The 25566-nt window shown below is 37.3% G+C and overlaps 1 protein-coding gene and 1 long non-coding RNA gene across 7 annotated transcripts in view, besides 6 other annotated features; one reads left to right on the top strand and one right to left on the bottom strand.

Annotated features, from left to right (window-relative positions):
* The window catches only part of ARRDC3-AS1 (ARRDC3 antisense RNA 1), a 40369-nt gene extending 26748 nt beyond the window's left edge, over positions 1 to 13621 (bottom strand). The window contains exon 1 of the long non-coding RNA NR_027435.1: positions 13044 to 13621. This is a non-coding gene — a long non-coding RNA (ARRDC3 antisense RNA 1). The remainder of the gene's footprint in view (positions 1 to 13043) is intronic.
* Positions 9885 to 10184: an enhancer, noted in NCBI's record as "active region_22787". NCBI's record gives its function as "activates an Ori minimal core promoter by ATAC-STARR-seq in GM12878 lymphoblastoid cells {active_cell/tissue: GM12878}" and the evidence as "EXISTENCE:reporter gene assay evidence [ECO:0000049][PMID:35858748]".
* Positions 9885 to 10744: a biological region, named in NCBI's record as "H3K27ac hESC enhancer GRCh37_chr5:90679204-90679721".
* Positions 10064 to 10581: an enhancer, noted in NCBI's record as "H3K27ac hESC enhancer chr5:90679204-90679721 (GRCh37/hg19 assembly coordinates)". NCBI's record gives its function as "activates a minimal SCP1, AML or CMV promoter by ChIP-STARR-seq in primed H9 embryonic stem cells {active_cell/tissue: H9 hESC(primed)}" and the evidence as "EXISTENCE:reporter gene assay evidence [ECO:0000049][PMID:30033119]".
* Positions 10435 to 10744: a silencer, noted in NCBI's record as "silent region_16173". NCBI's record gives its function as "represses an Ori minimal core promoter by ATAC-STARR-seq in GM12878 lymphoblastoid cells {active_cell/tissue: GM12878}" and the evidence as "EXISTENCE:reporter gene assay evidence [ECO:0000049][PMID:35858748]".
* On the top strand, positions 10651 to 25337 carry ARRDC3 (arrestin domain containing 3). Of its 6 annotated transcripts, none has more exons than NR_138072.2 (8): positions 10651 to 11155; positions 15193 to 15274; positions 17200 to 17347; positions 18355 to 18457; positions 18790 to 19046; positions 19692 to 19854; positions 20092 to 20284; positions 22512 to 25337. NR_138072.2 is itself a non-coding variant. In NM_020801.4 (8 exons), exons 1-8 carry the CDS (start codon positions 10876 to 10878, stop codon positions 22566 to 22568), a joined length of 1245 nt encoding a protein of 414 aa, NP_065852.1. In that variant the 5' UTR covers positions 10651 to 10875; the 3' UTR covers positions 22569 to 25337. The 6 variants fall into 6 exon arrangements, 4 of the variants coding, with proteins under 4 accessions (NP_065852.1, NP_001316601.1, NP_001316599.1 ...); NM_020801.4 differs by having other exon boundaries at positions 20130 to 20284; NR_138071.2 differs by lacking the exon at positions 10651 to 11155 and adding an exon at positions 13871 to 14520.
* Positions 12890 to 12959: a silencer, noted in NCBI's record as "silent region_16172". NCBI's record gives its function as "represses an Ori minimal core promoter by ATAC-STARR-seq in GM12878 lymphoblastoid cells {active_cell/tissue: GM12878}" and the evidence as "EXISTENCE:reporter gene assay evidence [ECO:0000049][PMID:35858748]".
* Positions 13580 to 13759: a silencer, noted in NCBI's record as "silent region_16171". NCBI's record gives its function as "represses an Ori minimal core promoter by ATAC-STARR-seq in GM12878 lymphoblastoid cells {active_cell/tissue: GM12878}" and the evidence as "EXISTENCE:reporter gene assay evidence [ECO:0000049][PMID:35858748]".

Below are 25566 nucleotides of genomic sequence, written 5' to 3'. Positions count from 1 at the left end.
GAAAGATTCCTTGTTCATCAGTTTTAAATAATATACCAAGTGTAATATAAGCAGAAAAATGCTAAAAGATAATATATGTTTTTCGTTTGTTGTTTGTTTTTTGAGACAGAGTTTCGTTCTTGTTGCCCAGGCTGGAGTGCAATGGCACGATCTTGGCTCACCACAACCTCTGAGTCCTGGGTTCAAGCGATTCTTCTGCCTCAGCCTCCTGAGTAGCTGGGATTACAGGCATGTGCCACCATGCCCAACTAATTTTGTATTTTTAGTAGAGACAGGGTTTCTCCATGTTGGTCAGGCTGGTCTCAAACTCCCGACCTCAGGTGATCTGCCCACCTCGGCCTCCCAAAATGCTGGGATTACAGGCATGAGCCACCGCACCTGGCCCAATATATGTATTTTTAATATTGCTTTTTAACCATAAAATTTTACTTTAGCAAAAGCTAGTAATCCTTATTTACTTTAACTGAAATCAGATACTTACTTCACAATAGTGACCCTGTGGCAATCAGCATACATTTATGAAAATGATGGTGTGAACCTAAGTCTTATTTTTAATTCATCAGTGTCATGGTTTTCATGTGGTTATCCAGAAAAACTACTCATCAGTATCTACAATCATACAATGAAAAATTTCTTAAAGATAACATTCTACTATCAATCTATCCCATATTAATAAACATTTATTGAGTGCATATGTGACAGGCACTATGCTACGTGTTGGAGATATGAAAATGTTTGACATTTGGGCACTAGATAAGACAAGGAAAGTGCCCTTGAGAGGCTTGGAATATTATGGAAGAGATAATATGTACAAACTATGTATAAAATTGTTAAGGAATAGGATTTTAAAAGGCGTTGTGAACACAAAAGAAAAACATATCCAAACTAAGGGAGGGGAGGATGGTTACAGAAGCCTTCTCAGAAGAGGCCATATCTTATCGATAAATAGTTCTATAGTACTTGCTTGAACTATAGCCTAATGATCAAAAACAAAGGTTCAAATCCTACCACTACCATTTACTAGCTATTTCAGCTTGGGGATGTTACTTAATCACCTTAAGCCTGTTTTCTCTATAAAATGGATTTACCTCATTGAACTCTTAAAAGGACCAAACAGGATAATGAGTGAAAAGCACAGTGCCTGCCATAAAATATGCCATTATTGCGGCTGTTAACAATATGATGTGATCTCTTTCTCTCTCGCACGCACACACCCCCCCAGTCAACAAATAACCTCATGGATTTTGGACTTCTTAGCTAATGTACCCATGTCCTATACACCTAGAAAGGAAAAAAACTGCTTCACTCCACCACCACTTGCCGCTCCTCCCACTCCTCTCATCATCTGTTATCAGCCAAGCTTCCCAATCCCCTGAAAAGTTTTCTTGACTTCCTGTCATTACCAGACATGCCTGCCTCATGTTCGCTCTTTAATGCGAGCCTAACCACCTGAGGTGTCTCTGGACTATCTAATATGACTGTCTTCTCATCCCTCTCTGTCCCCACATCCACCAGGAGACATATCGTTGTCTGCCCTTCACTCTCATACTGCTCCCCTGATGGGACTTCCTTAATGATGTCTTGGTGATTTTTATGCAGTTCACTAAACCATCTTTGCAGTTATTCACCACCACTATCTCCTAGCTACTGGCCAATGTTTTATTTCATTTGGGGTGACCAGCAAATTTTAAGTAACTCAAATTATGTGCAAATGAACATATGACAACAAAAACATTTACAAAGTAAAATAAAAAATCACTGCAGAGACAGACCAAAAAAAGAAAAAAAAAGCAAAGTGCTTAGAACACAAAATCACTAGGGCTTGTGAAAATGAGAAAGGTTACTACTATACTACTATAAATAGAATTAACAGTATCACCTTCTGTTCTTTCCCATATTATCCTCTTAAGCATCAAGAATCTATGTTACAATCGGCCGGGCATGGTGGCTCACATCTGTAATCCCAGTACTTTGGGGAGGCCTAGGCAGGCGGATCACTTGAGGTCAGGAGTTCAAGGCCAGCTTGGTCAACATGGTGAAACCCATCTCTACTAAAAATACAAAAAATTAGCTGGGCGTGGTGGCAGGCACCTATAATCCTAGCTATTCGGGAGGCTGAGGCAGGAGAATCTCTTGACCCCGGGTAGGAGAGGTTGTGGTGAGCCGAGATCACCACTGCACTCCAGCTTGGGCAACAGTGACAGAATGAGATGAGACTTTGTCTCAAAAAAAAGAATCTATGTTACAATCTTGCCCTGCAACAATCTCCCATTGGGCACTTGACCATGAAGGGACTCAGTCTTAAAGGTTCTTCTCTTCTTCTTCATTCACTGGCAGAAAGACCCAAAAGACAAGCAAGGCTCAGCCCAGTATTCTTATCCATTGACTTTTCTGAAGGCTTCTTCCAAGTTTTACCAAAACAGACCCAAATAATAGCAAAATAATAAATATAAAAATAAATCTAAAGGACTTATTTGTAATCAAATGGACCACCAGTACAAATAAAGTATTCCTTATTTCTAACTGTAAAAGATGATTTGGACATTAGAACTATTAGATAAAATGATATCTACTCTAGCTTTCGAATTCTGTTTTTAACCTGTACCTTACCAAAAAAAGTATTAGTTTATTATTATTTTAATGAGCCCTTCCTTTGGAACTTCCAAAAATATTTTGGCTTTACTAAACATTACTCCCACTTTCTAAAGACCAGGACTGAATAAATTATTTTCATCTGTAAATTATTCATGATTTAATTCTGTTCCTCACTTTGGATACTTTGTTATATGCATCTTTACAATAGCATGCATATCCCTCTGCTTGTAAATTCCTTCATATATGTTTCAAAGTCCAAATTAATAAAGCATTAAATTCCTTTCTATTGCATTCTCTTCAGCAAAATAACTTGAAATTTATACATAACTACAAAATATTATGTCAATTTTGAGCAAGAAATTTCAGTTGCCTCATGTTTTCACTAAAATGTATTGGTTTAAAAACGTACTTTATACTTGAATGAAAAAGACATTTGTGTTACAAAAACAATAAATGTAAAACCAATTGCTGGGCCAGGTGTGGTGGCTCAAGCCTGTAATCCCAGCTCTTTGAGAGGCCGAGGCAGGTGAATCACCTGAGGTCAGGAGTTCGAGACCAGCTTGGCCAACATGCCAAAACCCTGTCCCTACTAAAATACAAAAATTAGTCAGGCATGGTGGACGGGGGGTGCCTGTAATCTCAGCTACTCGGGAGGCTGAGGCAGGAGAATCGCTTGGACCTGGGAGGTGGAGGTTGCAGTGAGCCAAGATTGCACCACTGCACTCCAGCCTGAGTGACACAGCGAGACTGTCTCAAAAAAAAAAAAAAAAAAAAAAATTGCTGATCATCAAGGGAATTTGCTAGGTCATAGATTAAATGTGTGATTTTAAGGTTTAGCTGTCACCTAACCTGTTTCCTGACCCTGAAACAAAATACTTAGAATTCTGAGGGTAGCAAGTTCTCAGCAAACAAACTAAAATTGCCCCTCCTCCTTACAGCTTTCCCTTGGCAAACAGTTCCTTTATCACACCTACTTCTTTTTTTTTTTTTTTTTTTTTTTTGATATGGAGTTTCACTCTGTCGCCCACGGTGGCATGTGGTAGCACGATCTCAGCTCACTGCAACCTCCTCCACCCACCAGGTTCAAGCAGTTCTCCTTGCCTTAGCCTCCCGAGTAACTGGGATTACAGGCACCTGCCACCATGTCCAGCTAATTTTGTATTTTAAGTAGAGACGGGGTTTCACCATATTGCCCAGGCTGGTCTCAAACTCCTGACCTCAAGTGATCTGCCCACCTCAGCTTCCCAAAGTGCTGGGATTACAGTCATGAGCCACCTCGCCCAGCCTTTTTTTAAACTTTTATTTTAAGTTTAGGGGTACAAGTACAGGTTTGTTACATAGGTAAACTTATGTCATGGGGGTTTGTTGTACAGACTATTTCATCAACTAAGTATTAAGCCTAGTATCCATTAGTTGTTCTTCTTGATCCTCTCCCTTCTTCCACCCTTTGAAAGGTCCAGTGTGTGTTGTTCTCCTCTATGTGTCCATGTGTTCTCATAATTTGGCTCCCACTTACAAGTGAGAATATGCAGTATTTTGTTTTCTGTTTCTGTGTTAGTTTGCTAAGGATAATGGCCTCCAGCATCATCCATGTCCCCATAAAGGACATGATCTCATTCTTTTTTTATGGCTGCATAGTATTCCATGGTATATTTGTACCACATTTTCTTTATCCAGTCTATCATTGATGGGCATTTGGGTTGATTCCATGTCTTTGTTATTGTGAATAGTGCTGCAATAGCTACTTCTTCAAGTAAAAGTCCCCAACACTAGAAAAGACAGTAACATAAAAACTGGGCTGATTAAGGATAGGTGAAAAGCAAAAATTCTCCCTTACAATTTCTAAATTATGATAACATAAAGATAATAATTAATAGTACATAAAACTAACTTTAGGTGGTGAACTGTTGGAAAAATATTCCATTAAACAGTACTGAGAAGTTAGTGGCAGTAAATGACAAGTTTTAGGGTTTAAAAAATCATTTATAATAGTGATCCCCTTCATCAACACAGAAATGTGGATACCTAGAAGGGCAATTATCTCCAGGTAAGGTATTGAATATGAAATTCCAGCTAGCTATATATAAGTTTGATATTTAAAAACTGGGAACTGGTTCTTTTCTGTTGTACTTTACCACAAAACTCAATATCCATCAAGAAAATATTTTATTATAAAAGACAAAAAAGGTCGGGTGTGGTGGCTCACACCTGTAATCTCAGCACTTTGGGAGGCCAAGGTGGGCAGATCACCTGAGGTCCGGAGTTTGATACCAGCCTGACCAACATGGTGAAACCCTGTCTGTACTAAAAATACAAAAATTAGCCAGGTGTGGTGGCCTGTAGTCCCAGCTACTCGGGAGGCTGAGGCAGGAGAATTGCTTGAACACAGGAGGTGGAGGTCAGAGTGAACCAAGATCACGCCACTGCACTCCAGCCTGGGTGACAGAACCCGACTCTGTCTCGAAAAAAAAAAAAAAAAAGGTAAGAAAATAACAGATGTTGGCAGGCTGTGGAAAAAAGGGAATGCTTATATACTGTTGGTAGGAATGTAAATTAGTTCGGCCACTGTGGAAAGCAGTTTGGAGATTTCTCAATTAACTAAAAATTGAACTACGATTCGACCTGGCAATCCCATTACTGGGTACATACCCAAAGGAAAAGAAATTGTTTTACTGAAAGACCCATGCACTTGTATATTCCTTACAGCAGTACTCACAATAGCAAAGATACGGAATCAACCTAGATGCCCACCAATGGTGGACTGGATAAAGAAAATGTGGTACATATATACCACGGAATACTATGCAGCCATAAAAAAGAAGGAAATCATGTCCTCTGCGGCAACATGGGTGCAGCTGGAATCCATTATCTTAAGTGTATTAACACAGAAACATAAAGCCAAATACTGCATATTCTCACTTACAAGTGGGAGCTAAACACCAGATACATATGGACATAAACATAGGAACAACAGACACTAGGGACTACTGGAGCAGGAGTAGGAAGGGTTGAAAAACTACCCATTGGGTATTGTGCTCACTACCCAGGTTATGAGATCAATCATACCCCAAACCACGGCATCACGCAGTATACACATGTAACAATCCTGCACATGTACCTCTGAATCTAAAATGAAAGTTAAAATTTAAATAAATAAGAAAATAAAAACAAAAATAGAATGGGTTCTCAGGTTGCTTAAAGGCAGGGAGTTGACTTAATGACTTTAATGGGCCTCTTCAGCCCTTTCATCCCTGGGAGAGTAAAATATTTCAAAGTAGATATGCTATGCTATATAAGCTACATATCCTATATAAAATTATCAAAATGTTGGCCAGGAACGGTGGCCCACACCTGTAATCCCAGCATCTTTTGAGGCCAAGGCAGGCAGATCACTTGAGGCCAGGAGTTCAAGACCAGCCTGGCCAACGTGGTGAAACCCTGCCTCTACTAAAAATACAAAAATCAGCAGAGTATGGTGATGACGGCCTGTAATCCCGGCTTGAATCCAGGAGGCAGAGGTTGCAGTGAGCTGAGATTGCGCCACTGCACTCCAGCTGCGCAACAGAGCTGTCTCAAAATAAAATAATCAAATGTTTGAAAAAAAATTTAAAAAAAATTTTTTTGAGACAGGGTCGCACTCTGTCACCTAGACTGGAGTGCAATGGCACGAGCTCAGCTAACTGCAGACTCAACCTTCCAGGCTCAAGTGATCCTTCTACCTCAGCTTCCTGAATAGCTGGGACTAGAGGCACATGCCACCACACCTGGCTAATTTTTGTATTTTTTGTAGAGACAGGGTCTTGCTATGTTGCCCAGACTGGTCTCAAACCACTGGACTCAAGCAATCCTCCCACCTTAGCCTCTCAAGTTCTGGGATTACAGGCATGAGCTACCACACTCAGCCAGAAAATATTTTATTACAGCAAATAAAATTTTACCCTCATTATATAAAGTTGTGCATAGTCAAAAGTCAAAATTTATAAAGTAGTTCAGAAAAGAAATTTAGCATTCCTAATTCTTTCTGTAGACCAGATGCCATTTGAGCTTAGATGAATAAACTTTACCAACTCATCTTCTACATGATAATATGCACTGCCATAGCTTCACTGGCAATGCTCTTCTTTAGTTGTACATCTGGATGGAAATACACCAAAATGTTAACAGTGGTGTCTCTGAATGGACGGACAGTAGAATTATGGGTGATTTTCTTTTAATCAAGAAATAAAATATAACAGATTAAATGGTGTTCACATAACACAAATTATACTATTTATTAATGAAGGATATCAGAATCCAAATTTGATAGTGAGTTTCATCACAAAATCCATAACATATTTAAAAGTCTATTAAGTATGAAGAACATAACAAACATAATATGCGTTATGTTTGTAATAGCTCTCAAAGCTAAAAAACAAATACTACTCATTTTGCTAATAATACAGCAAGTCTTCTGTCCAGTCTGCATGCCAAATTTGCTGCACTGTGACGATATTAAAGAGTTAAGTCAGAGTTACAAAATCTTGAAATACAGAATTAAGACCAAAGGAAAAAAATCCCCCTTAGTCCCATAGCACTCGAGCCTATCAGCTGCTAGTTAAAATAGATTAAGCATAGATTTCATATTTTTCTTTATGAAACAGATTCTGACTACTGGTAGGTTTTTTTTTTTTTCAACCAAACACCAAAACTTCCAGTTGAGATGGCTTCCTTTTTTTTTAAAAATAAAAATATTGAGCATGTTGATATAATATGCAAAAAACTCCAAACTTGGCAGTAATCTTAACATATCTCCTCAATATCATACAACTTGACAGCAATGATCATTTATCAGTCTTTGATAGAGTTCTTGAGATTGAGTTCAAACTTTAATATATTAAGGTGAAAGAGCCATTTGACTCAAAAGCTAATATAAAAAGAGATTCCTACTTAAGCTCTGAAGAAGCAATGAAAGGGGAAGGGAAGCTAGTTATTCAGTCTAGTTGGAATTTTACTCAGTAGTGCCAACTGCATCTAGTGGAGGGATTAGAAAAAAGCAAAGGAGATAACATAGTAGTGGGATGTTATTCTGGGCACCAAAAGCACATGTAACTGCATACTGGCAACAGTGAGACAAGCTAACAAAGGGGACAGAAGATGTACTTGACAGGATTATAGAGAGTTAGCAGATGAGTAGGAGGAGATGGCATATGAGACGTAGGCTGGGGAGAAGTAGGAAAGAGCCTTGATGGTAAAGACGAATAGTTTAAATATAATACAAAATACAATAATGGCCCAGTGAAGCAAGCTGAGAAGCCCAAGATAATGTCTACAGTACAGCATTTCAAGCTGTCTAAGGAGTAGCTATTTAGACAAAAAATCTGAAAGGGGGAAGTTATGAAAGCGACAAGAGAAAACATTCAAAATTTGGTCCAAGCGTTTTTGTTTTTGTTTTTGTTTTTAAGAATTGAAAAGATAAAGCGAGACCAGGCGCAAGCGGCTCATGTCTATAGTCCCAGCACTTTGGGAGGCCAAGGCGGGTGGATCTCTTGAGGCTAGGAGTTCAAGACCAGCCTGGCCAACATGGTGAAACCCTGTCTCTACTAAAAATACAAAAAGTAGCCAGAGGTGGTGGTGCGTGCCTGTAATCCCAGCTGCTCCGGAGGCTAAGGCAGGAGAATCGCCTGAACCCGGGAGGCAGAGGCCGCAGAGAGCCTAGATTGTGCCACTGCACTCCAGCCTGGGCAACAGAGTGAGACTCCATCTCAAAAAATAAAAATATAATGAAAATGGCAGCTGGTAAGAATTTCTTGGAAATTTGCCAGTTACCTAAGTATTTAAGAAGACACAGTAAAAAGAAAATTTTAAAAATAGCAAAATAAATAATAAAGACAACTATTCAAAAGATCCTGAAAGCTTCAAACACAAAGAATAATGTACTACACAGTGACAGGAATGAAACATTTAATATTTTAAAACAATTTTCCAAACTACAAATAAATTTCTTAGACTTCTTTTTTATTAAATGCAATTCTGGTGTATTTATATAGCTAATTCTTATTTTTTCTGAAATGAGTTATATTCTAATTAAATAAATTTTACTAAAAAAATCCGAATTCAGCTGTTCACTAACCCTTAATAATTTTTAACATAAATGTAGACACAAATGTGCAATGAATTTATGTATTCATTATGGACTACACTTTTAAATCCATTCCTTGCTCAGTGGTTTTCGAATGCTTATTAAATATCATTGACCTTATGCTGAGGAAAAGCTGTCATTCTAGGAAATTCACCACTTCTACCACTAGGTGGAGAAAAAACACAAGTAGTATCTGTAATCAAAGCTAGTACAAGGCCCCAGGTACTTTACCTAGAATTTCCACCAGGTGTCAACCAAGAGGTAGGGAAAAGATAAGACTGTTTTTCCCACTTAAATATGCAAATTTATAATTTTATGCATAGCGATCTAAACTCTGAAATAAATGGCCTGCTCATTAATTGTCTAGTTTGCATATTTATACTCTTTATATATTGCTGTTGAGTCCAAGATATTGCCTTGTCAACTAAAATCCAACCCCCAAAAGCTTAGTTTCTTTTGAAATAAAACAGCAAGACCAATAAGTTTAGTTTATTGTGACTCATAGGCTCAACCTATCCATATACACTACGCAAAAGAATCTAAAACGTTTAGACACGGACAGCCAAAAATCTTCCAAGGTATTTTTGGTCATACATATATATATAGAGAGAGCACCAGATTCATATTTTTTCTTTCTACATTTCTCTTGTAAGGCAGTTCTGTTGATTGCCAGTAATCTAGATGAGTTTATGCTGTTATGCTCTGAATCCCAGTGTGATGTGACGAAAGCACTGCTATTTTTTACCAAACATTCACAATAAAAAGAGAAATGTACCTATATTTAAGATGTATCATGAGAATTACTACGTTAAATGGTCCAAGGCTCTCGGCCGAAAATTAAAGCTTCACACAGTTAAATCCCTATTTATATACCAAATCATGCTTTTTAAAAACAATTTTATGCGCTTCACTAATTTCTAACAAAGATTTTCCGATTCTGTTGCAAACAATATGTCAGCTAAACCACTATGTCATATGCCTTTTATAAGGTAGTACTTTTTTAGGCCGAACTCTATTCTTATTCCTCTGGACACAGGAGTTGTAATCATGTCTTACTCTGCAAATCTAGCCGTAGGTGGTGTCTTAAAAGGACTTTTTCTTCCTTCGAGGAAGTGATCAAGCTTCCCCCAGCCCCCACCCGTGTCATCCTGGAAACAACTTGGTTGTTTTTCGGTGCTAATTAAGCAATGTAGGAGAAAGAAGTTGAGGAGACAGCAAAGCCTATTGATTACATTGTACTTGCTTCTCTACCTCGCTCTTCAAAGGATTAAGGTTCCTTTGACCTCGACTGAGTTCATTTCCAACCTGCCTACAAAGTACTGGTTTAAAAAAAAAAAATCCAAGCAAAGTATGCTCTTGTCTATGAACAATATTTCTTGTCCGGTTTTATTACGTTTTCTTTGGAAATTCGTTAGATTATGCTCAACAATCGGCCGCTTGCCCAACCGGTTTCTCCCTTCCCCCATCTCTCTTCACACATCACTTTTTCCTCCTCCCATCCAGGCAGTTGGTAAAACGCTGCAGTGCCGGTAACGCACGCTTCGGGCTGGTCGCTGCAGTTTATCCTAACTTGGCTTTGCAAACTCCCCACCCAGCCCTTGTACCCTCGCACCCCACTCTGCCATTATCTTTCTAGTAGAGTGCGCTCGGTAACGGGCTCCAGATAGCACGTCGAGGGTATACGGTAGCCTGCCTACCAATAGGAGCCCACAATGAAGAGAAGTCAGGTTCAGCCGGCCAGCAGCTCCAGTATCTCCTTCCCCTAGCTCTACACCTACTGTACCCGGGAGCGAGCGGGCAAGGGAGCGAGCGCGGCGCGGCGCGGCGCGGGAGGGGGCGCGCAGGGAGGGCGGACAGCAGCCGCGGCCTGCGCCTGCGCACTGGGGTTGTTTTTCACAAAGCTGCTCTTAAAGTGAGCTGGCAGCTTTTAGCCGCCCGTCTTTGTAAGGAGACCACTGAGACGAGCGGGAGCGCGGAGCAGCAGCCTCTGCTGCCCTGACTTTTTAAGAAATCTCAATGAACTATTTGTAGAGAATCACTGATCCGGCCTGCAAGCATTTTGCACGGCAAAAATATCGATCAGTGTTAAGTGAAGATCACATTTTATATGCGATCTTGACTTTTTTGTCTTACATTATATTTTTATAGATTTTGTTATAAACATGGTGCTGGGAAAGGTGAAGAGTTTGACAATAAGCTTTGACTGTCTTAATGACAGCAATGTCCCTGTGTATTCTAGTGGGGATACCGTCTCAGGAAGGGTAAATTTAGAAGTTACTGGGGAAATCAGAGTAAAATCTCTTAAAATTCATGCAAGAGGACATGCGAAAGTACGCTGGACTGAATCTAGAAACGCCGGCTCCAATACTGCCTATACACAGAATTACACTGAAGAAGTAGAGTATTTCAACCATAAAGACATCTTAATTGGGCACGAAAGAGGTAAGTTTTTGTTATTCATAAGTCATTGGACTCATTTTCTTTGGAAACGTACCTTTTCAGTTTTCTGAATTAACGTGATTCTACTCCTAGCATAACTAAGCAGTTTGAGAAAGGTTAGCAAAGTTGGAAGGTTTGGATTCTCCTTGACGTTCATCGTGTGTTAAGCCGTAATGCATGCAGGCATCTGCAAAGTGACTGCAAACTACACTTATTCAGCTACCTCTGTACCCGGCTCGGTCTGTGCCACACGCACTTGTAGTCCATTTGCACCTTACTTATAAATTCTGTTTGAATCCAATTCAGTCGTTTTACTAATATATTTTCAAATGAATTGGTAAAAGCTGCAGTCTTAGATTTTTGCCCTTTTACTTGCAACCTAAGATGTAAAAACTGAACTTCGATCAAGAAATGTAATAACATTTTTAAGAGACTTAATGGGTGTGTTTCATTTTTAATATTGGAATGCAAAAGACTTTAAATAATTGATGACTGTTCTTTCATAAAAGATTTCTGTGGCTTATTTTGACATATGGTATCAACACCCCACGTGTTTTTTCTCTATTCTTTACCATTCCTTTAAAAATTTACACCCAGCATTCCTTATTTTAAAGGAATGACTATCTGTCATTATGATAGGTATCGAGTCAGGTTTAGAAGCCATTTAGGATCAGTAATTTTCTTTTCCGAGCATCATGTCTAACTTTGGAACGTGCATTCAATGAAACCCATGCCAGTCAAATGGAATTGAAAAGTATAGGGCACACTGGATTTGATTTTTGGTTAGAAGAGAGAGATAAAGGGTTGTCAAAAGGAGAAGGAGTCCTGAGATTTCCAATCTATTGTTTAAATGGTTACATTGTGGAAATATAGGAGACTCTAGGCTTGTTTTTCTAAGTTTCCACCCTTTGTTAGAAGCGGTTCAATCCTGTTTCGGACCAGTTCTGGGGGGTGGTGAGGAGGGGCGCTTGTTCTGCTCTCAGCAGATTGGTTACACGCGTCAGGTGGTGGCGATGACTTAATTCCTAGCCCAAGAAGAATATAATGTTAAAACTGGTTATGTAATTTTTGTGCCTCTCCTTTTTAATGCAGTATTTAGTTCAGATGTTGGCGATTTTTCAGAAAAAAAATTAGAGACATATTTTACCTTATTTTTTATATTAAAAACGTACATCCTGGAGAAGTGCTGATGACTAAGGCAAGTGAGAAATGAAGGATGCTTTGAGGGACAGTATTAATGCATTATTTTTGAAACTATTAAGGTGAACTCAGTTCTTTAGCAGGATTTTCGTAGTTAGATACAGGTACTTTGCATCCTGAAATAACTAATTAATCTCTCCAAGTGTTAACACTGATAGGAGATGCAAATGCCTAATGACAGCCTTGGTATTTGTTGAAAAGCAGATAGATGACTTTGTGTTTGTACCTTTCTGAATATTGCAGCCTTTTATGAAACGGATGAAAGAAAACAGATTTTTCCTCAAGGGGTTAAGACTTGCAGTGGGGAAAAGTAGAACAACGAGATGTGAGGACAAATATAATTTCATTAGTTGCACCATGATTTCGTGGTAAAGAAAACTAAATGCCCTGCACCCCCAACAAAATGCCCCCCAAACCCTGCAACGCGTAGACGAGCTCAGTCTGGAATAGTTTCAATGACTTGAAACTGGGAGCTCTCAAACTAGCCTGGTAACTGAGACCCCGCCCCGGGCGCCCGGGATAGGCGGAGCCAGGTTTGTTAGCCTGTTGCTAAGGCGATGGCAGGCGCTGATTGGATTGGGCGCGGGCGGGTGGGGAGAGTGAGCTCGCGCCGCGGCTGGGGCGAGGCTAGGAAACCGGCGTGCGCCGGTAAAGGTTCCTCCAGAGCGACCCCCACCCAGCCCGTACTCACGTTTGTTCCCGGGCTTCTGGGGGCGCCCAGCCCGTGTCAACATCATGTTCTGTCGCCCCTCTTTTGGGCCTCCTAAGGGCCATCGAAAGGAAACGACTTCAGGCTTTAACTGAGTAGAGGGCAGACGCTCCTGCCGGCCTTACAGGTGCTGGATGGCCATGGACCCAACTTTAGCAGAAAATCCTTTTCAGATGGAAGTTGGATGGGAAGGGTTGGCAGGACCCCCGTTAGCTATCTTCCGAGTGGGAGGTGTCAGGGGACTCCTGTGAACGCTTGTTTTCCCCTTAGCTGAAACAAAGCTTGTTCCCCGACCTCTCCAGTCGCCACACTGTCTACCTTGAGTTGACCTGAGGGGACAGAGCAAAGGCTGGCCCGAGGAAGAAGGAAAGTGATTCCAATATCGAAATGTTGGGGGAGGGGGGGGCTTCGACGGGTATCCTCTGCCCCCTCCCCCATCGTTTTCCGAAGCCTTCGGGCCCCCGCCTCCCCTTCGCCACCCCAATATCCCTTGCCGAAACTAAAGGTGTCAGAGTGGCCCGAGCCAGATGGAACCGGTCGCCGGCTGGGGCGTGTAAAGCGGAAGCGCCGCGGCTCGCTCGCCCCGCCCCCCGGCCAGCAGGCTAGGTTGCGCGGGCACGGGCGCGAGCGCCGCGCGACGTATGCCGTATGTATAGCGGGGCGCGCGGGCGGCAGCGGCGGCGGCGGCGGCGCGCGGGCAGGCCGGCTGGGATCTGCTCGCGCCGGTTTAGGCCGGTCCTCTCCTGCTCCGGTCTAGTTCTTGATTGACAGCCCGGCACTTGTTTACCACGGCGCGGCCGCCGCCGCTCGCTTCAATGAGACTGCTGAGCTGGCACAAAAAGGGAGCGAAGAGGGAAGAAAGGGAAAGGAAGGCGAACTTCGGGCGCCTTCGAGGGGAGCGAATTTAAATGGCCCCCAGCTCATCAGCTAGTTTTTGGTTCTGAAATCCGTTCAGGGGAATTTGCACAGGGGACGAGGAAAATTGTATGGAGACATAAGCGAATCACCATGATTTTTAAATGAAAGTATCGACGTATACATGCTTTTTTCCCCCTTTTTCTCGTTTAATATCAGGGAGGCATCACGTTTTTTGTGTATATCCAATACTTTGCTGAAGGAAAGTTAAATAATGTGCCAGTTTTTTCTACTCTGGGGGCTAATCGTAAAGGTTTCTACACCAAGAAAACTTTAAAAGATATTTCTGTAATTATTTAAAACGCTAAATAGGCACTTTAATGATCTAGAACCCCCTCCCATATTTTCGATTATATTTATTTTCATGCCACTTGAAAAAAAATAATTTCACCAAAAAAATTGGTTGTAAAATGAAAGGTCATCCCTTTTTTATAGAAACTGGAAACTATTAATAGTTAGACTTCATTTTTTTCAAGGATGTTGGAAAATATTGTTTCCTTATAAGCCGACACCACCTAAATGCGGTTCTTTGTAATTATCTAAGGTATAGTTTATGCAAGTTTTAGTCGTTGCTAGGACCAACTGAGTGTTGTGATCATTTTAGATCAATAAATAATTATTTTTAGTTCAATAAATAATTATTTTTAGTTATAAATCTGACATTAAAATCAATGTGTGGCTTTTTTTTTTTTTTTTTTTACTCCGTCTATTTGACAAGGTTTTCTAGTGGTTTTGGAGTATCTATTCTATTCACATCTGGTATTATTATTCCCTATAAACTGACATATTTTAAGAGGGTTGCATGAACAGTTTTTCTTTGATACATTATAGTCTTAATGTGATAAATTTAAGCAAACCGTTGGAGACAAAGGATAGCATTGTCTTACCATGATGTGAGACCCGAGCCTTTTGAGTATATATACTATTTTATAAACAGATGCTTTGCAGTTTGGGTCATTTTCCATTAGAAAAAATAAAAAGCCTGTGGGGTGTGAGTATTCATTATCCCCATTTTACAGATAAGGCAGCTGACGACAGGATTTTTATTTTGTCCAGAGGAAATGATGAAGTTAGAATTAGAACTCAGATCTCTCAGACTCCAAAGCTTGTTTTGTGGTCTTAATTGTTATGTAAGCATCTTTAAAGTTATGCCACCCTGCGGAGTATGTAAATGTTGAATAATAAATTCTTTGTTTTCTTTTTATGTTTGTTTTAGATGATGATAATTCCGAAGAAGGCTTCCACACTATTCATTCAGGAAGGCATGAATATGCATTCAGCTTCGAGCTTCCACAGACGTAAGTATTATAAATAATAGGCATTTTTATAGATACTTATGATCAGAGCATTATTTTAAAATTAAGTATTCTAAATTTAAACATTTTTAGTTGAAAAAAAAACCCTTTTCATTACTGAAACTTGCTAGAGGAAAACAATATATTAAACATAAGAAGCTATTTTTTAATCTAGCGTGGCAAAATTATAGAAAGCATACTCAATTTTCAGTATTCTTTCCTAAAGTTTATGAGGTTTTTAAAATAGGAATAGGGTTTCCTTTAACATGAGTGAATTGGAAGTTGCTAGTCGAATAATAACCACTTTATACTTAGTTTATTATCAATTATCATTATGAGAAAAGATAGACCCTATCAAGTCTTAGTAGCTTCAATTTATAAAAAATTCTATATTCTACTTTTTCTGCTAATACTAACCAATAGCAGTAAGTTTCGAAAATAAAAATAATTAGGAATATCCTAACTTTAGAAATGTTTTTCTTCTGATATGAACTTAATAGCTTCTGTACAAAGAACTATTGGGAAGGTCACACAAGAGATATGACCCAGGCTTAAAAGGAAACATGCATCAAGGATACATTAATATAAAACTTGGAATCTAGTAAGAAAGGAAAAAGGAAAGTGGTATATTCTTAAAGTAATGACAGATTGTTGGAAGAGATGATACAAACTTTTTAAAAAAAAATGCCTTTTAACAAATATTAAAACCTGCAAAATGGCACTTGTGGTGATTATTCTGGAGAATAAACAGATTACATAAGATTTTGTCAGGTGACAAATGTACATTAATTCTGCATTTGTTAATTCTAGTGCTTGAGATGTTATATATAGAGAGAGAAGTCATAAATGGTATTTTTTAGAAAATTCTATTTACTGTATTATTTGAGAATTTTATTTGGAATATAATGCCCTCATCTAATTTCTGAGAAAAATATTAAAGTCTGTTGATAGAATAAGGCCAATATGGGGCCTGAGTATTTTCAGCGTCATTTAATGTTAAAGTTCTATCCATAAACCAAAGTCATTTAACATAAATTTTGGATAACTATTAGCATACAGTTTAAGATTTTATTTCTCTGCTATACAAGTTAATGTGGGAGTCTAAAATGCAAAAAAAAAAAAAAATTATGAAAACACCAGTGTTTCTTATGCTAATCTAAGCTAGCACTCTTGTAAATAACTGAACATTGAGTATTTTACTAATGAAATTATGAAAAAGATACTGAACTTGCTAAAATAAAACCTTCCACAAGTAAAATCTGACAGAGTTAAAAAAAATTTTTTTTTATTCTCTTGACATAGATCAAGAGGACTATATCTTTTTCTTTTGAAGCCCGTAAAGTTAGAGAACAGCCAAACAAGAATTAGAACATGAGTAAACTGAGAGATACAAAAGTAGTTTTTCAGTAAACTTAGGAAATGTGAAATTTTTGAAACTATAATGACTATTCCAGGCCTTTTCTAGACCTTAGTTAGTTGCTATTAAAAGATGATAATTCCCGGCTAATGAGAAGTGGAGTACTATAGGGAATTTGGTCTGAATGTTTAACCAGTGTCTAGAATTTATCAGTAGAAATAGTTAAACCATTCTCAACTTTGTGTTTGAATTCTTGGCCTTTTCAAAAAATGCCCATTAAACTTTCATGATTTTGCCACCATCATTAAAAGTAGCCTCCTCTTAGTTTAAATGGATTGTATTCTTCTGGCTTTTTAAAGCAAAATTTTAAAGATATTTATTGTTTATTCTTAGTTGGAAATAGGAAGTTTTTTCCCCAGTGACTTATCCCTTTGGAAATTTTTTAAATTATATGTTTGATACCTCATTGGAACATAAACAATACAATATATTAACACTTCTATTCTGACCTACTGTGTAATTGTTAGAAAGAGGTATAAAATTAATATATTGACCTTTATATTCTGCACAGACCACTCGCTACCTCATTCGAAGGCCGACATGGCAGTGTGCGCTATTGGGTGAAAGCCGAATTGCACAGGCCTTGGCTACTACCAGTAAAATTAAAGAAGGAATTTACAGTCTTTGAGCATATAGATATCAACACTCCTTCATTACTGGTAAGAATTGACTGAATTATTTATTCTTTGTTTTTGGCATATAAATATTAAAGAATAATCAATCACCTAAACTATGCAGTTGTCATAATTTAAAAATACTGGTTTTCTTTTAAAATTTCATAAATATACATTTTCTTAAATACAGTCAAGAACACTGAAATTAATGAAAAATATGCTCATATTTTTGACATTGTAGTATACCTTTAAGTAAATATAAAACTAAGACCAGTATATGATATGAAGTATCTCTTACTCAGAGTATGACAGCCATAACAAAAAACAGATCTGGTCCTTGGATGATTTGAGTGGAAGAAGAGCAGTAGTATCTTTTATTATAATACAATATCACTTACTTGACAATATCATAATCTAAAATTTGTACTATACTTTGTTATTCCAATAGAGGGATAGTTGTCAAATAATGGGGAATCATTAGTTTCATTAAAAAACTCCTTTTTTAAAGAAATCTATTTTTAATTGCATTTGTCTGAAAATAATTCAAATTTGACTTAAAACTTTATTTGATTTAAACAAATGGTAACATCTTTAAAGCACATAAGAAATGGGCATTTTCCTTTTTTACATATTGATTTTTTAATAGTCTCAGAGAAAGATGTTAACATTTGGAATTATAATCAGATTGCTTTCTTTGCTGCCTTTTTAAGGCAGTTTAAATGGAATGTGGAAAGGGTTTTTTTTATTTGGTTGGTTTTTGATTACTATATTTGTAAATAGTGTGAGCTAAAAAACTATGTTTATGGGATAGGCTGTAAACCCTTTACCTTTTTTTTCTAATTGAATGGAAATTTATATGAAAATAAAAGTAATGGTATAATTCAAAACCATCGGTTAGTTAAAAAATAAGAAGTATGTCTGGATACAAAAAAAAAGCAAAACCAGTTGTAATTTTTAATTTTCCATAAATTTAGGGTTATATTTTAAAATATTCTGGTATTGATTGTACCAATCCATACACTGACCTTTTTCTCTTAATTTTTTTCTTACAGTCACCCCAAGCAGGCACAAAAGAAAAGACACTCTGTTGCTGGTTCTGTACCTCAGGCCCAATATCCTTAAGTGCCAAAATTGAAAGGAAGGGCTATACCCCAGGTATGTAAGAGGTAGATTCCCACAAAAAACTTTTCTTCACTTAGCTTTTGTGTTTAAATTTATAATATGACTACTAAATATAAACATAATATAGTATTCTTTTGTGAAATAACAAATTGTGCTTATCCATTTGTTTTTTTCACAAAGTAGAATGTAGTTTCCTTTTTCAAATAGCTACTGATTAGTTCATTTCTATGACTCAAGTTATTTGCAGTTCCTGGGACATCTTTTCATGTATGTTAGTTGCACTTTCTTACTTTAGCTTTAAGAATCTTGACTTCTTTTGTTGTTTTTTTCTAACAGTAGATATGTATATATTTTTCCCTCTCTAGGTGAATCAATTCAGATATTTGCTGAGATTGAGAACTGCTCTTCCCGAATGGTGGTGCCAAAGGCAGCCATTTACCAAACACAGGCCTTCTATGCCAAAGGGAAAATGAAGGAAGTAAAACAGCTTGTGGCTAACTTGCGTGGGGAATCCTTATCATCTGGAAAGACAGAGACGTGGAATGGCAAGTTGCTGAAAATTCCACCAGTTTCTCCCTCTATCCTCGACTGTAGTATAATCCGCGTGGAATATTCACTAATGGTATGTACACATTTAAGAGGTTTTTTCCTTTCTTTTTTCTTTTTTGAAACACCTGTCACCCAGGCTGGAATGCAGTGGCACAGTCTCAGCTCCGCTACAGCCTCTGCTTTCTGGGCTCCAGTGATCCTCCCACCTCAGCTCCCAAGTAGTTGGGACTACAGGTGTGCCTATAGCCATGCCTGGATAATTTTTGTATTTTTTGTAGTGATGGAGTTTGACCATGTCGCCCAGGTTGGTCTTGAACTCCTGGGCTCAAGTGATCCATCCACCATGGCCTCCCAAAATGTTGGAATTATAGGCATGAGCCACAGTGCCTGGCCCAAGAGGTTTTTGGTGTTTTTTTTTGTTTTGTTTTTAAGTCTTAAAGTTATGACATAGTTTTGTCTTACATCCAGGATTTGATTTTTTTAAATTCCATATATAGTGACATATAAAATACATAACTCTTTATATAGTTTGACTTACAATTATACCTTATATGTAAATGTACTATACAGAATTATACATAAAAGAGAAACTTTTCATGTATGTAAGTTTAAAAATGAAGTAAATGGGGGTTTCAAATAACATTAAAATTGGTTATGAGTTTTTGAAAAGGAAATCATACTTGGCATTCTAAACTTAATATTTCTTTGCAATGTTTAGGTATATGTGGATATTCCTGGAGCTATGGATTTATTTCTTAATTTGCCACTTGTCATCGGTACCATTCCTCTACATCCATTTGGTAGCAGAACCTCAAGTGTAAGCAGTCAGTGTAGCATGAATATGAACTGGCTCAGTTTATCACTTCCTGAAAGACCTGAAGGTAATTTGATAATACACGTCTAAGCTTAATCTCTTACTACTATTATCAAGAAAATTATTTTGCCTCTGATATTTTATGACCCTAGATGAACATAATCTTTTCCTAAAGAAAGTAGATGTGCCCCTAATATTCAGTTTTGATTATATGTCTTCATAGTTTTGATCACCAAACAATAATTATTTTACCTTGACGTTGCTTTTTAATACCTACTATTCTGTGTATTTTGACATGCATAAGAACATGCTGTTCGAATTGCGTGTATCTTTTTCCTTCAGCACCACCCAGCTATGCAGAAGTGGTAACAGAGGAACAAAGGCGGAACAATCTTGCACCAGTGAGTGCTTGTGATGACTTTGAGAGAGCCCTTCAAGGACCACTGTTTGCATATATCCAGGAGTTTCGATTCTTGCCTCCACCTCTTTATTCAGAGGTAAGTACCTACTCCTTAAGTATGAAATGAACTGGCTATCTTGGGAAATAGCATTGCAGGCATTTTTTTTTCTTAATGTTATTAGATCTTGATTATCATGTTAACAGAACAAATAATTTAAAACAACAGATTAAAAGTTAATATTAGGTTCATCAATATTTACTAAGTTTGATGCAGAGGTAGGACTGTTCACTTATTAGGGAATTAAGATAATGATCTAACCTCATGTTGAATTACTAATTTTTTTTTCTCTTAAACTTTTATCTTGAGACACATTTTTTGAAGGAAGAATTTTGTATATCCAAGCATCAATAGGAAGAACTAGCATTTTGCAAACACTGATTAAATAGTAGAATTTATCTTATTCATGATGCTTTTCCAATTGCATATTTTGACATTCTCAGTCATAAGAAATAATGTATTTGTGATAACATCTTAAAACAACATTCCCACATGGTTAGACTATTTTCGTTCATCTCATATTGATGGCAGCTAAGCACTTAAATGTAAATAAAACATGGCCCTTAGGAGAAACCCACAGATTACTGAGGAAAACAAGCTAAGAAGCAAAATATTATGTAATAATGTGATAAAATGCACAGCTCATTTGAGAAGCAGCTTATTAGGTCTTGGGCATCAGGTGGGGCTTCTTGAAAAGGTGACTATTAAGCTGAATTTTGAAGAATGAGTAGTCCTCAAAAGGCAGGAAGAACAGTGTATGTAAAGACAAGGAGTGAGTAGGTGGGGTGTCCAGTAATTTCAGGATATTTCAGAGTGACTTTAGCCACTAGTACACATTTTTAAGGGGTTTTGGAGTTGGTTTTGATACCAAAATAATTCTGTAAATTACTAGAATCAGCTTTTTCTTTTGGTTACTGTAATTTACATAGCTGTTTTACTCTGAAATATTACTCCCAAATTAAACATTAGGGGATTGTTCATCATATTTCTCTTTTTTTTTATTAACACCATAACTGGAAGGGTCAGTTTTCCTTTGGTTGTGATGATATGAGATCTTCTTCATTCATTGATTATAGAATATTCAGAATTATTGATGAGACATAATTTTTTCTATTTATTTTCTAATACATACAATTTCTATTAGATGCTAAAAGTGTTCTGCCACTTGTTACAGATTTTGTCATTACATTTTTACTTGGACATTTCTGTCTTGCTTATTAAGTCAGTCATTTCTGGCTTGATTTGAGGCTTCCTGGCTGTCCAAGGAGGCATTTTAAAAAGAATGACAATCTAAGTATAGTTCACTTTTAAGCAATTTGTGGGAAAATTCTGCCTCCTTTTAAAAAGCACTAAAGATAATTTACAACTTTTAAAACCCTAAAATATGTTCAGGGTGTGATTTAACTAAAAGTTATTTGGCTTTTTTCCTTCAAAAATGTGTTTTACCTAAAGCTTCTGAGGCAATTTGGGTTGTTCCACATTTAGATGCAAGTGGATGGGGTCTCGTCCAAAAGCTCTTTCAGTAAAAAATATATTAAACCCAACAATTTGCTTTTCTATGACCATTCTCTTTGTACTTGAGAAGCAACTTTTCATTAAAAATATGTGCATATAAAAGTCACTCTGAAGATAAAGAAGGTGGGAGGAAACCTCTTGAGTGTTTTGGGTTCAGCAGTTTTATTTCCTGATACACTGCGTTTTTGGCCCTCTGTGGGATTTTACACCCATGAGTTATTACCTCACATAAGCACATTGTTCATGTGAGTAAACAAATTGTTTGCACATTGTATAAACAAAGAGCATTGTTTATACGATTTCATTTTTCCAAAGTCAGAGGAAGCGATGAGTTAACTTTTTTGTAGAAGGATGAAAGGGGTGCTTTACAAAAGAAGATGATTGCTATGAAGATATTCTACGTTGTGTATTTAGGTCTTAATTAAGTACTACTAAAGTACTGAGTAAAAGTCTTCATTCACTGATAAAATTTTACTGTTAATTTTTGTGAAATAGGGGACTATTCAGACATGCCTTTATAAAGCTTGTTAATCTAGTAATTAAATATCAGGTACTGTAGGTACCAACACCCTTTCCTCCCCACATAGCATTTCACGTATGAAAAGAGAATAATTGGATATAATATGCTAACAAGCTGTGTTTGCTCTCTGATTACATTTCTTGACTAGTATTCAGAATTGTAGTCATTTGCTACATTCTTCCTAGACCTCATGAAATAACTCTGTAAACTTTTTTTCTCATTTCTTTCTAGATTGATCCAAATCCTGATCAGTCAGCAGATGATAGACCATCCTGCCCCTCTCGTTGAAGGAACACTTGGTTGAATCAAGTTGATGTGGGTTCCGAACTGTATCTCTTCCGGCTGAGGACAGAGAAGTATCTTGGAGACACGTTTCAGAGGAAGTGGAATTACTTTTGCCCAGAAAAATGGCGAATACATGAAACAACCAGTGATCATGCTTTAGAAGCCTACAGCAACATTCTGAGACTGCTCCAACATGCTTGAAGATCTAAGCTTTTCTCTTTTAAAACTGGCACATACTCAGAGCAGTCTTCTTAGCCTATGGTCGTACGTGTCAAGACATCACGTTGTAAAGAGGGATGATTTCCTTCTTTTGATTTGAAAATTTGCACATGCTCAATGCTTACATTGTGCGGTTCGACGTCACTACAGCTTCTTTTTTTTTTTTTTTTTTTTTCTATTTTTGCCAGACTCTTGATACTCTTAAAACTTGTTTGTGGTCAGCACAACAAGGAACAAAACAAAGCTTTGAAAAAACTTTAACATGAAAAAACGCACTGACATTTTTTTTTATTTAATATAGCCTGGACTTTACCTGCGTATGCACATGCTCAGAATTGTCTACTAGGCTGACTATGTATCACCTCTTCAGCTTGGATCCAATTGTGGATTTATTTACAAACATCAAATGCCTTCAAGCCAATCCTTTTTGCTGTATGTTTTGCAGCCTACTGTAGTAGATACGCAACAGATAATGTGGGAAAAAAAGAGATAAGAGGAGGAAGCTAATAAGAGACTGTCAAGATTGTATACCTTCTTGGTTTCTTTTAAGAATTTGTTGCCTTTCTACTATTACAGCAAAGCAGCATTTTGTTACTGACTGCCTAAAATCACTTAATCTCAGGTGAACGCATCACTTGCCAAACTGTTGGAATGCTATTTGTGTTTTGTTGCACTGTTTTTTTCGTTTGTTTGTTTGTTTATTTGGTTGGCTTTTTGGAGAGGGAAATTTGGAAACGGGACATACACAAAAGTTACACACCCACATTCCCTTTTTATCATGACATACAAGAAGAAACTAGCAGAGCTAAGAATGGAGTGAAGAAAGGCAGTATGGCAGGCACCAGCAAAGAGTTGAGGGCTGTTGCTCTTAAAAATTATTTTTTTTATTATTATTTTGAAAGTATGGAAGTTTTCCATTCACTGGGGAAAGGAGGGAAAAGTGCATTTATTTTTATACAGAGTTACTTAATTACCTCCAAAACACATATGTTGGAAATCGCTTTTGCTGGTGCAAAGTATATTAATGAGCAGGAATACATACATTGAGGTTATGAATAGAGAGCTCAATTTGTACCTTTGCTGTCTTGCTCAAGCTTGGTATGGCATGAAAACTCGACTTTATTCCAAAAGTAACTTCAAAATTTAAAATACTAGAACGTTTGCTGCGATAAATCTTTTGGATTTTTGTGTTTTTCTAATGAGAATACTGTTTTTCATTACCTAAAGAACAATTTGCTAAACATGAGAAATCACTCACTTTGATTATGTATAGATTACATAGGAAGAACAATCACATCAGTAAGTTATAGTTTATATTAAAGGTAATTTTCTGTTGGCTCATAACAAATATACCAGCATTCATGATAGCATTTCAGCATTTTCCAAGGTACCAAGTGTACTTATTTTGTTGTTGTTGTTGTTGTTGTATTTTAGAAGGAATTCAGCTCTGATGTTTTTAAAGAAAACCAGCATCTCTGATGTTGCAACATACGTGTAAAATGGGTGTTACATCTATCCTGCCATTTAACCCCACAGTTAATAAAGTGGCTGAAAATAATAGTAGCTCTGGCTTGGTGCTTGACCTGGTTAAATACTGTCTTAAAGCTCATACAAAACAAATAGGCTTTTCCATAAGTGGCCTTTAAGAAAACATGGAAGACAATTCATGTTTGACAAATGCTGACAGGGTGAAGAAAGCCCAGTGTAAAAATGAATCGCGTTTTAAGTGATTCGGTTAAAGAGTTTGGGCTCCCGTAGCAAACTAATACTAGATAATAAGGAAATGGGGGTGAAATATTTTTTTATTGTTGAATCATTTTGTGAATGTCCCCCTCAAAAAAAGCTAATGGAATATTTGGCATAAAGGGCATTTGGTGGTTTTATTTTTGTTTGAGGGGGATTGTCAGAAAATCCCTTTTCTCTCTTACGTCTAACTGACTAGGGAACAATTGTTGATATGCATAGCATTGGAATACTTGTCATTATATACTCTTACAAATAACACATGAAGCAAGAATGACCAATATTCTGATAATTGGCACTGGATCACAAAATGTGATAAAACTTTAAATGTATAAAACTTTATCAAATAAAGTTTTATTTTCCCCTTTAAAATGTATTTCTTTAGAGGCATTACTTTTTTAAAAATATTGGTCAATTCCTGACATAAGATGTGAGGTTCACAGTTGTATTCCAGTATTCAAGATAGATTCCTGATTTTTCAATTAGGAAAAGTAAAATCCAAAATGTTAGCAAAACAAAGTGCAATATTAAATGTTTGCTTTATAGATTATATTCTATGGCTGTTTGTAATTTCTCTTTTTTTCCTTTTTTATTTGGTGCTGAATATGTCCTTGTAGGCTCTGTTTTAAGAAAACAATATGTGGGAAATGATTTAATTTTTCCTATTGCTCTTCCTTGTGGAAAATAAAGTGTTTTGTTTTTTTCTGTTTTGTATAATTGTTTGGAGATTTATTTGAATCTTGATCATATTAGTAACTCACCATACATGCAAACACATTAAATTAAACTATTAAACTCTATTTTAAGCCATTCTGGGTAAGAATTGTATCTAGGTCTGTACTAAAGAAAATTACTGACCAACTCCTAGGCTAAAGTAGTCCTCCTGTCTCAACCTCCGAAGTAGCTAGGACTACAGGTGCACACCACCACACCCACCTAATTTTCTAATTTTTTTGTAGTCGTGGTCTCACTATGTTACCCAAGCTGATCTCAAACTCGGGCCTCAAGCGATCCTCCCAACTTGGCTTCACAAAGCACT

The sequence above is a fragment of the Homo sapiens genome, chromosome 5, assembly GCF_000001405.40.
Source record: "Homo sapiens chromosome 5, GRCh38.p14 Primary Assembly".
In the NCBI taxonomy this organism is placed as follows: domain Eukaryota; kingdom Metazoa; phylum Chordata; class Mammalia; order Primates; family Hominidae; genus Homo; species Homo sapiens.
The sequence above is the reverse complement of the archived record's forward strand: the minus strand, read 5'-3'. Positions and strand labels throughout refer to the sequence as shown.

Coding starts and splice junctions, on each gene's coding strand:
- ARRDC3 (NM_020801.4), top strand. CDS start 10,876: ATGGTGCTGGGAAAGGTGAAGAGTTTGACAATAAGCTTTGACTGTCTT. Junction 11,156..15,192: donor CTTAATTGGGCACGAAAGAG/GTAAGTTTTTGT, acceptor TGTTTGTTTTAG/ATGATGATAATTCCGAAGAA. Junction 17,348..18,354: donor TCAACACTCCTTCATTACTG/GTAAGAATTGAC, acceptor TTTTTCTTACAG/TCACCCCAAGCAGGCACAAA.